Here is a 12,397-nt window from a genome sequence, read left to right as displayed (position 1 = left end):
GTAATAAAATCCAGTCATTTCAAACCTGTACTCCAGTTATTTTCTTTTCCTTCTCCAAAAAACGAAAGTATATTTATACATTGACAAATAGGGCAATTCTTGGATTCCTGGGGAGGATGATCAAGTCTGCAGTTTGGCTTGCCTACCCACCACTGATATTACTTTGCCTTTCTTCTACTCATGGTCACCTACATCAGATGATGGCAGTGGGGATTTTTTTTTTTAAGGTGCAATTCAAGCCCTTGGGTGATGGTTAACTTTATATATCAACTTGACTGGGCCATGGGTGCCCAGACATGTGCTAAAACATTATCTCTGTATGTGTCTGTGAGGGTGTTTCCGGATGAGATTAACATTTTAAATTGCTAGACTGAGTAAGCAGATAGCATTCCCTAAAGTGGGTGGGTCTCATCTAATCAAGTAAAGACCTGAATGGAATAAAAAGGCTGCATAAGAGGCAACTCTGTCTGTCTGTCTGTTTGAGCTAGGCCATCAGTCTTACTTGCTCTTGGACTAGGACTACACCACCAGCTCTCCTGGGTCTCCAGCTTGCTGCTTGCAGATCTTGGGACTTCTCGGCCTCCATCATCACATGAGCCAATTCTGTATGATAAATCTCTTTATATCTCTATCCTACTCTCAAATATATATGCAATTGGTTCTGTTGAGAGAGCCCCGATTACAACTAAGTGTGTGTGTGTGTGTATAACTAAATGTTGGTATATAACTAAATGTTAGTTTGTAAAAAGTGTCAGTGAGAAAAATAGGTTCAAATCCCAAGTAAGCTAATTTAATCTTCATGGTTTCCTCCTGATTACTTTGGAGGTAGCTCTCTTTCTGACATTCTGTAATTTGTGGATGTGCACCTAGGAAGAAACAGCTGATGCTTTTTTGGAAAGCAAGAACAGACTTTAGTACTTAGGGTGTTTTGTCTACCAGGGCGTAGTTGAAACCTGAACTGGAGATGTGGTCAGATCCCAAGGGAAGGGGCTGGGCAGGGTGTCTGGGGAGGGAACTGCTCCAGGGTAGTGAGGAAATGAGCCCAGAGTGTCTGTTGACTGTTTTTGTTTTTTAAAAAATCGACTTTCTTTAAAGAGGAGCTTTATTTTGCACAGCAAAATAGAGAAGTAAGTACAGGATTTCTCATATATCCCATGTCCCCACATATCCATAGCGTTCCTGATTGGCTGGTGTTATGATGTACGTTTTGTACGCTTTCCATCATGGCCACTAGTTACCTTTCAATAAAAAGGCTACAGAAGATCCCCCTTGGTGAAAATGTGCTCTGGAAGAGAGACTTCTCCTTCTACCTCCCCCTTGCAGCGCTGCCTCCCACTTGTTATCCTCCCCCTCAATCTCCAGCTATAGCCCTGTCCCCCTCCACTCTGCAGGTCTAGGTAGGAGGGATGAAGCTTGCCCTTCTTTCCCCTCTCTCACTTCCAGAGGGGAGGTAGTATGATCTCCCCTCCCTGGTGTGCGGAATGCAGATGTGACTCTCCAGTGATGACTACTGGATTCTATCACTGTGCCCTGAGAGTCCCCAGGGCTCAACGCCTCTCACTGCCTGATGTATATTTCACTCTACAAACCCTGCAGGGTTCCTGATCCATCCAATAGGCCTCTTGACTGATATCTTCTCCACTCTGACCCATGTTTAGAGAAGCAGGCTTCTTCTTAAAGTCCAGTGCCCCAGTTCCGCCATGAGGACCCAAGCCATCCCTGTAGCTATCCTTGAAGCCTCATCTTTCGATGAGCCCTCTACTGCCCTTAGGTAGACTCATACTTGCTGGGCACCTAGTTTCTGTGCATCATAAAGGTGTAGCAGCTACTTCATGATGGCTCCTATGCCAACCATTTGCCTAAAAATAAGCTACCAGACTTCAAAAGCTTCTCCAGTCTGATCACACCTCTCATGTGAGCCAGGCTGGTTCCCACTACCTTCCTTTGGGCATAGTGTACGGGCCATACCTGAGTCCTCCTCCTGCTTGCCTGTTTTGGGGCAAGCATGGAAATAAGCTTGAAATACTTGTCAAGAGTCTCCTGAAACACTGTAAAGTATTTAAAAAAAAAATAGAATATCTTAGAGGGGAATTGCCACCCCCCCACTGCCTGTCTGTATCCTTCTGATACTTTACTGAAGGACCAAAGTTTTGTCATTCCTGGAAATCGGGATTTAGAAGTCCACTGTGAGGAGTGAGGCGGCTGTGAGAGATGGGGGCAAGGGACCAACATGTACTGAGCAGTGACACTTGCTGGGAGTTTTATATCTTTTGATTTAAAAAATGTTCACAGTGCCTGCACAAGGCAATGGATAAAATTATTTTATTTTACAGATGAAGAAAGTGAAACTCTCAGAGGTTGGATAAGCTAGGATGCTGTGGAACCAAGATTCAGATCTGCATTATTCCAAATACAGGATTATTTGATTTCATATTAGATGCAATTCTGTATCAGATGCTTAAAAATAAAAAACAAAACAAAAACCATAGTACAGACCTTCAAGGCACTCAGTATCTAATAGTTGTTTATATCCTTCCTTCCTTTGAATTCTGTTTCTTGAAATGTACCCTTCTTCTTTTCTGGCCATAGGAGGTGATATATTGAACATCTTTCCTAGTAAGTGGTAGAAAACTGTTTTTATCAAATGCTTTGAGATGGAAAAAAAGCTTTGACCACACTCCGGAGAGGTCCATTTCTAGATGCACTGGACGTTTTCAGTAGTAAAAAACCTAGCATGTCAGTTTTACACCATGGAGGCATTTTTGTCTCAGCATTACTGTAAAGTATAAGAAATAAAATAAATGCACTATCCATACTTCCTTAACTGGGGGAAGGGAATACTTAGTATGAACTTTATGTCCCTTCCCTGTGAAATAGTCAGCAAATAGTCCTGCATCATAAAGGTAGCTCTGTTGCTCTCTCACTGTGCCGTGCTACCCCTATCAAGTCTGTGCATGATCTGTGGAGGGTGTTGTCATAGGTGCCCATTCAGGGGCTCGCTGCCAGGCGGTACAGGTGTAACCGATGGCCAAGGCCTCCCTGTGCTGGCCGTATGTCATCTAAGGCTGTCTGCCTTTGAATTGATGAATCCTCAGTGAAAGCAGATGTGCACTTTTTTTTAAGTCCCTTTCAAAAGGAAAAAAAGCAACAAAGCCTTCTATTGATTAAGGTAAAGTCAAAATTTTTTCACCTGGAGACGGTGGTTCATATTGCCTTTGTCATGAACATGATCCTCTAACCCAGTGATTTTTAGCTTTTTTTAGCAATCACATTCTTTTGAGAAGCTGTTGAAAGTTATTGACCTTTTATCCTAGAAAAATGCACATGTACACATTCAAACACAATTTTGTACAGTTTCAAGGAGTTCATGAAGCTCCAGCGATAGGAAGACCCAACTTTTTCCTCTCCCCTATGGATCTATTCTAGTTTTCTTCCAATTATGAGAATGTAGTCCTTTCCTGAGCTGGTGGTAATATGATATAGAATACCATATTTATTTTGGCATTCATGAAAATGAAAAATGTCTAGGACATTTTTTACCACTTTAGAACTCTGCTGCCTAAAAATTCACTAATTAAGAAGAACCACTGGGCATTCTTTTCAATAAACGAGGCTTAGTAATTTAGATTCCTCCCAAATATATTTTACTATTTGCATTGCCAGCTTGTTTCCACTCTTTGTCTTGTGGATGAGTGAGTGGGAGGAGAGGAGGAGTATATATTAGAATCACCCAGAGGGATTTTCAGTTATGCCCTCTCTTGTTCTTCCACCCAAGACCTGGGTATACAAGCATTCTCCTAATGGGACTCCGAGTTCCAGACCAGCCAGCAGTTTTTTTGATACCTTGTGAAAATATAAAGATTTTCTAGCAGAAAGCAAAAACTCTATTGCAATTTGGGCTGCTATATATAAGGATCCTAAGAGAGAGAGTAGATGATTCAGAGAAGTCACAGAGTCAGAGAATGTTAGAGTTGGAAAAACGTAGATGTTTCCATTGTGACTGATAACAAGAAACACACTTTCTGTCTTTATTCAGTACACACACACACACATACCCCATGGAAATAAGAGTTGTACACAACAATACAATGGACTGCATTCTGATTTTTTCTATTAAATTAAAAAAAATACTGTGCTAGTCCAAAGTCATTACATTTATGGGTTACAATCATAAATTGAAAAATTGATGTAGGCTTATGGTTTTCAAACTAAATTCTTAGAATTCTCTGATTAAGTGTCATAAGGTTGCCTGTGATAGGGGTGAGGGTGAGGGGGTGAAGGAAAGGAAGGGCTAAGGGAGAGAGGCACAGTGGGTTAAACTCCTGGTATTCTCCCCTCCCAATCAGAACAGCCTCATTAAAATTGTTTTCATATATTGGGGTTCTGTGTAATATTATTTTTATTTTTTTGTTTATTTGTTTTGAGACAGGGTCTCCCTCTGTCACCCAGGCTGGAGTGCAGTGGCACAATCTCGGCTCATTGCAACATTTGCCTCCCGGGCTCAAGTGATTCTCCCACCTCGGCCTCTTGAGTAGCTGAGACTAGAGGTGCGTGCCACCATGCTTGGCTAATTTTTGTATTTTTCGTAGAGGTGGGGTTTTGCCATGTTGCTCAGGCTGGTCTCGAACTCCTGAGCTCCAGTGATCCACCTGCTTTGGCCTTCCAAAGTGCTGAGATTACAGGCATAAGCCACCACACCTGGCCTAATATTTTATTTTTAAAACATTGAAAACCACTGATGTAGCCCATTTCTCACTTTACAGGTGAGAAATTTAAATCCAAGATTAGGTGACTTATTCCAGTCAGGCCAACAGACAGTGACCTGTCTGTTTTAGAGACCACTACGGTGGTTTTTAAAATTGCATTATTCTTTTGTTTTTAATTTTAATTAATGTGTATATGTGTTTGGTTAAAAGTCAGATGGTTTAAAAGAAGTTATGAAGAAAAGCAAGAATCTTCCAACCGTCCTCTATCCTACTCCTCTTTCTGCTTCTGGCTTTAGAGTTTCATAGCTATTTTCATTACTCAAAATATGTCTGTTTCTCTACTTCTCAATTTATCACTTTTAGGCAGTGCTATTGATTCCCACTGTGAAACATGAGGGCTTAGCTCATCCTCATCTCACTGTCACTCATCTCCTTTTCCCTCCTCTCCACTCATATTTTATAGTTATATTAACACTTTTAGTTCTACAACTGATTACCACTGTTATTTTAAATAAAAAAAAGTAGCCCCCATTTTAAAAATTATACCCTAATCTTCTTACCTCTATTCCATTCCTTTTTATTGTACCAATTCCATCATCTCTAAAAACAACACTAATACTGAGAAATTTTTGTTCATAGTAAGATGACAAAGTATGATATGGCTTCTTCAAAACACTAGAGAAACTTCACACTGTATTATTAGAGATACAAAGTCTAGAGACATAAGGTTTGAAATAGGTGAACCACAAGAGAATTTCCATAATACAAACATATACAATTACCAGTTTCTGGTCTGGTCCCTAGAAACCAAATATTCGGCATGTTTCTACCCTCTATTGTACCTAACTTTGCACCTTCTGTTCAGCAACAAAGGAAATAACTGACTAGTGAAATAAAGTTTGACATGCTAGATTTGGGCTCAAAATAAGAGAGTGCTTTCTAGTAAAGAGCCCTCCAGAGATGAATGGGGCTGCCATGTCAAGTAGTGAGTTCTCCATTGCTATAAGTGTCCAAGTACAGGATATATTGTCACTTGTTAAGGTTCTTGCAAAAGAGTAAATGGCCTTCAAGTTATTTTCAACCCTGAGATTTTGTGATTCTGTGAAATCAATGGTATATCCTACAAGGTGAGCAAAGTATACCGATCATGCATTCTCATTGGGACAATATAGCCCCCAGTGACATAAAAATGGGTTCTGGAGAGGTGGGTGGGAGAGAGGAGAGTGAAGAAAACTTTAGATATTGCAGTGATTTGTGGCTCTCCAAAGGACCAGAGTACATAAATAAATAGACAGTATATCTGCAGTATTAAAATTTCATGGAAGGTAGAGATAAGGGAAAAAAGTCTAAAAAGGCTGGAGGGAGAGCAATACTCAAAAACAAGGGAAGCAACACTGCACTAGACTCCATATTACATAATTAAGTCCCAGTGTTGTTTCTGTCTTCTCCCTTAGGAGGTCTTTTCTACTAGTTGTCTTAGAGGCAGTATGGGGAGAGGTGGTTAATATAATAGATTTGGATTTGTACCTGTTTCCAGCATTTACTAGCTGTGTGACTGTACTAGTCAGAGTTCTCCAGATAAACAGAACCAACAGGATATATAGAGATACATAAGAGGAGATTTTTTATGGGGATTGGCTCATGTGATTGTGGAGGCCAAGAAGTCCCAGGATATGCTGTCTGCCCACTGGAGAGCCAGAAAGCTGGTGGTGTAACTCAACCTGAGGCCAAGGGCCTGAGAACCGGGTTGGCAGGAGTGCCCTCTGGTGTAAGTCACAGAGTCCAAAGGCCCAAGAACCTGGAGTGCTGGGGCCTGTGGGCAGGAGAAGATGGATATTCTAGCTCCAGAATAGAGAATGAAGAAGAGAGCCCTTCCTCTGCCTTTTAGTTCTATCCAGGCCCTCAACAGATTGGATGTTACCCACCCACAGTGGTAAGCATGAGTCTTCTTTACTCAGTCCACTGATTCAAATGCCAGTCTCTGCCAGAAACACCCTCATAAACACACCCAGAAATCATGTTTTACCAGTTATCTGAGCAACCCTTGACCCAGTCAAGTTGACACCTAAAATTAACCATTGCAAATCCACCTCTTGTCAACTTGCCACACAAGCGCATCTCCTTAAACCAAACTTAATCTCCAAATAAAGACAAGGTCATGATTCCATTGAATACGAGACAACTCTCCTGCATACAACCAAGATATGCATTAATCTCTTCCCCTGAAGAGAAAGTGAAGTTCTGGAGTGATGTTTACTTTCTCTTCGATATCCTGTAACTTAAATACTGTGATGTAAAATTAATAACACTTAAATGTCGATATAGACTCAATACATCTTATGTTGTTACATGATAAGAGAATGAAAGAGGAAAGAAAAGAAAGATATTTACTTAATATATGTATATATATACACAAACATATTCATAACACCATAGGGAGGAAATACTCATGACAATTACAGTCCTTGTTTCTGTAACTGGTCACATGGTCATACCTGGTATTTATAACCACTTTCTTCTACTACCCATTCTGTATTCCCTTTGCCTTCAGTAGCACTTCAGCTAGTCATGGTTCTTTACCTGGTGGGGTGGGACCCAGCCTTTATTCCTGAAGGGTCTGGGCCATTCATAGTCTGCCTGGGTTGGATTATTGTAGTTTCCCATTGATCTTAATCAAAGAGCATGGTATTAATAATATTAAGAGACACCCTAAGCGATCTCCTGTATTCTAGACATATTCTTCCTTATTTGCATTGTGGAATAGCAGTTCAATTTCCCCTTAGTAATCTGGCTCAATCACCCCAGCCAACACCAGAAATGCCCTCTTGGCCTATTGACTCAGAGGCACAGTGACTGGGTGGCAACCTTAACTTCCAGTTCAGTGGAATCCTTGTTGTGATGTTGCTGGTGAAAGCGTTTCTCTCTCTGGAACTAAGACCTTTAGACCAGCAGAGCATAAAATCTTAGGAACAGGAAGCAAAAATCTTGCTAGTGGATCACTTGGGGTAATAGTGAGTGATGCCACTCTCACTTTCATCCCTTGATTCCTGGACCTATGAATCCTGGCTATGAGAGAAACAGTACCATATAGTTGGATGCTGATTCAGAGCATACACAGCCTTATAGAGATATGTGCCCCAGCCTTGCAGGTATCTGCCACCTAGTAGGCACTATAATCAAGTCTTTAAAAGGCCATTCGCTGTTCTATCAAGAAAGCTGCTTCAGCCCTCCCCGTCAGGGAAGTGAGGAGCGCTTCTGCCCAGCTGCCCGCTGTCTGGGAAGTGAGGAGCGCCTCTGCCTGGCCGCCGCCCTGTCTGGGAAGTGAGGAGCGCCTCTCCCCGGCCCCCCAACTGACTGGGAAGTAAAGAGCTCCTCTGCCCGGCCGCCCAACTGACTGGCAAGTGAGGAGCGCCTCTGCCCGGCCACCTGACAGTCTGGGAAGTGAGGAGTGTCTCTGTCCGACCACCCTGTCTGGGAAGTGAGAAGCGCCTTTGCCGGGCTCCCCACCCTCTGGCACGTGAGGAGCGCCTCTGCCTGGCTGCCCAACTGACTGGGAAGTGAGGAGCACCTCAGCCTGGCCGCCAACCATCTGGGAAGTGAGGAGCGCCTCTGCCTGGCCGGCCAACCGGCTGGGAAGTGAGGAGTGCCTCTGCCCGCCTGCCAAAGCGTCTGGGAAGTGAGGAGTGCCTCTGCCCGGCCCCCAACCATCTGGGAAGTGAGGAGTGCCTCTGCCTGGCTGGCCAACCGGCTGGGAAGTGAGGAGTGCCTCTGCCCGCCTGCCAAAGCGTCTGGGAAGTGAGGAGTGCCTCTGCCCGGCCCCCAACCATCTGGGAAGTGAGGAGCGCCTCTGCCTGGCCGGCCAACCGGCTGGGAAGTGAGGAGTGCCTCTGCCCGGCTGCCAAAGCGTCTGGGAAGTGAGGAGTGCCTCTGCCCGGCCGCTGCCCCATCTGGGAAGTGAGAAGCACCTCTGCCTGGCTGCCAACTGTCTGGGAAGTGAGGAGCACCTCTGCCCGGCTGCCACCCCATCTGGGATGTGAGGAGCACCCCTGCCTGGCCGCCAACCATCTGGGAAGTGATGAGGGCCTTTGCCCAGCCACCCACAGTCTGGGAAGTGAGGAGTGCCTCTGCCTGGCCACTGCCCTGTTTGGGAAGTGAGAAGCGCCTCTCCCCGGCCGCCCAATTGACTGGGAAGTGAGGAGGGCCTCTCCCCGGCTGCCCAATTGACTGGGAAGTGAGGAGCGCCTCTGCCCGGCTGACTCGTCTGGGAATTGAGCGCCTCTGCCCGGCTGCCACCCCGTCTAGGAAGTGAGGAGCGTCCCTGCTCGGCTGCCACTCCATCTGGGATGTCGGGAGCGCCACTGCCCGGCTGCCCACCGTCTCGGAAGTGAGGAGCGCCTCTGCCTAGCTGCCCAGCTGTCTGGGAAGTGAGGAGCGCCTCTGCCCGGCCACCCCATCTGGGAAGTGAGGTGTCCCTCTGCTCGGCTGCCCACCATCTGGCAAGTGAGGAGCGCCTCTGCCCAGCTGTCACCCCATCTGGGAAGTGAGGAGCGCCTCTGACTGGTGGCCGTGCAACCTTCCAAGTGTGAAGTGACAGCCTTGTGTGTGATCTTTTCTGTCTTCCCCAAGTTTGCATTTTCGACATTAAAGTTTACTTTTTAGTTAAAAAAAAAGAAAGCTGCTTCAGGATGGTGGGGGACACGGTAAGACCAGCGAATCCATGAGCATGGGCTTATTGCCATACTTCTGTCACTGAAGTGAGTTCCTTGGTCAGAAGCAATGCTGCATGGAATAGCATGACAGTGGATAGGCTTCTGTAAGTCCACACATGGTAGTATTGACAGAAGAATTGCATTCAGGGAAGGCAAATCCATATCCAGAGTAAATGTCTATTCCAGTAGGGACAAAATGCTGCCCTTTCCATGATGAAAGTGGTCCACTGTAATCAATCTGCCACCAGGTACCCAGCTGATTACCCTGGGGAATGGTTCCATATGGGGGCTCAGTGTTGGTTTCTGCTGCTGGCAGATTGGACACTTAGTGGTGGTCATAGCCAGATCAGCCTTAGTGAGTGAAGTGCATATTGCTAAGCCCATGTGTAACCCCCATCCCTGCCCCACTGGGGGATGACTGGTGTGGCTGCAGAAACAGGCTGACTGGTATCCACATAACAAGTCATCCTATCCACTTGATTATTAAAATTCTCCTTTACTGAGGTCACCCTTCAGTGAACATTCATATGAGATACAAATATTTTCACCTTTTTTTGCTCATTCAGAGAGGTCTGTCCACATATTTCTTCATCACAAATTTTCCTATCACATTCCTTCCAAGTTCCTGACCATCTTGACCAACCATTGGCTACAGCCCACAAATTGGTTTATAATTTCACACTTGGCCATTTCTACTTTCAAGGAAAGTGCACAGGCAGGTGCACTACCCAAAGTTCTGCCCAGTTAGAAGATTTTTCCTTCACTATTGTCTTTCAGGGATGTCCCAGAGAGGGACTTTAGTAATGCAGCTGTCCACTTTTGGGTGGTGCCTGCATATCATGCAGATCTAAAAACAAAGCCCATGTTTTCTCTTCCTCTGTCAGCTGATCATAGGGAATGCCCCATGAGGCCATAGATGCAGGCTGGGAGAGAGAAGACAGCATAGCAGAAGAGGGGACCATGGGCATTTGGACCACTTCATGTAATTCACTTTTGCTTTAAGGGCCTGCTTGGGCCTGATTGCGCATATACCACTTCTATCTGATGATGGAGTGCTGCTGTGCATGCCCAGCTTCATGGCTTGGTGGGTCACATAACACCCTGTTCATGATGCTATAGATGAATCATGTAATTTCACCAAGCCCTGGTTTTCTTCTCTTTAATGGAGGGAATGATAGCTCCTTCCACACAGAATTGCTGGAATGTTTAAATCCTTAATACTCAACGCGTGGTTTTAGAATCTTTGGCATAGGTATCACCTGGGAGCTTAGTAGAAATGCAGAATCCCAGGCCCTATCCCAGAAAGACTGAAACAGAATCTGCATTTTTAAGAAATTTACAGATGATTTGCAGGTATGTTAAAATGTGAGAAGAAATAGACTGAATGAAATAATCCTAGCAAAAGAGATCACTGTAGTACCTGATATTGAATATTGTTTCTATTAATCTCTTTCTCCCACACTACACTATCGATTTAGTGGCAGGGCCTTGTCCTGTTCATTGTTATGTTCCCAGCATTCAAAGCCTGGCAGATGGTAGCCAATAAAATGTGTATATTGATTGAAAGGCTGTTAGATGAATAAATGAATGAGAAGTGGAGTGGGGACAGAAAGTGTTCTTTCTGAATATGGCCAGAGTTGGTTTTTCTGCTCACTGACTCCTGTTATCTGACCCACAGCTACTTCCCTCAATCTATAAAGAAAGACCTTCTCCACAGAGGACGCTCTTCTTTTTTTGTCTTAAGAATATGCACATTTAATTGAGAAATTTATTGAGTGTTTTCTTTGTGTAAGTCTTGAGTTATTTGCAGTGAAGGAAACAAAGATGAGTAAGACACGGTCCGCACCCTCCGCCACCGTGTGTGTTTGTGTGCGTATTCTGTCACAAATCTCTTGCAATACACTCATTTCAACCTTATCTTGGCTTAAAAGATAAGGAGAGAACTGAAACATATGGGGTTTGTTGGCACACTGGGGCTGAGTTATGAATACTGTCACAGATACAGGAACCAAAAGATTCAGACAAGGAAAACAAGCTTTAATAAAAGGTTCCAGAATTTAGACACCTTCTCTTCCCCTACACCCACCCTCAGTGCAACCCCACCCCTCCGCGATAAGCTTCCCTGCTGCAAATAGCCTTTAAGGTCTGAGAAACATATCCTTAAAGTCACATTCTTTCTTTGTCAGTATGAGTGAGTCAACACATTTGCTTCTTTTATATTTGCTCCTCAAAGATAATTCTTTCTTTGAGTAGGTAAGCCATCTGTTAACAAGCTATCCTTAGTCCTCTGTGCAAACTATTCACCTCCTTCACCACAATGCCCACTGGAATTGGGAGAAAACAGACATCCTTGCCCTCTCTCTTACTCCTTTTTTGAAGTCTTGCATTGCTGGAAATCATCCAAATCTTTTTTTTTTTTTTTTTTGTATAAAAGAACTTTCTTTCTTGACTAATGTATTTGAAGTAATTTTTCTCCCCCAGAGGTTCATAGTTATATCAAATTCTTATTCTTTATTAAGCATGCTTGGTTTCCTTTCTGAGAGTATTTTAGATCTCACTGGGAGATTAGGCAGAGTCTGGGTCAACTCTTGGAGAGGAACATCAAGATGGATACCCAGATGCCTCCAGTCAGGGCCATGATAATTCCGGGCACCAGCCTTCCCACTGAGTCAGCAAGATTAACTTTGTAGTTCTGTAACACCTTTCATCTGGGAAGCTGAGGGCTCTACACATATGAGGTCAATTAATTCTAAGAAGCAAGTATTATGAATGTTTACTTTATTCTTTGTAGTTGAAGACAGTGCAGAGGATGGAATTACTGCCCAGGTGTGCACTGTGGCTCAGTGCTCCAGGGAGGCCCTCTAACCTCCCCTTTCAGTCTGGCTCCTGCATGGTGGATCAACGTGGATTTTGGAATTGGTTCCAGCTTATGATTGGAATCTACACCTGGATGTCCCATAGGCATCGGAACTCAACAAGTGT

The sequence above is a fragment of the Homo sapiens genome, chromosome 12, assembly GCF_000001405.40.
Source record: "Homo sapiens chromosome 12, GRCh38.p14 Primary Assembly".
In the NCBI taxonomy this organism is placed as follows: domain Eukaryota; kingdom Metazoa; phylum Chordata; class Mammalia; order Primates; family Hominidae; genus Homo; species Homo sapiens.
This window is presented reverse-complemented; position numbering follows the sequence as displayed.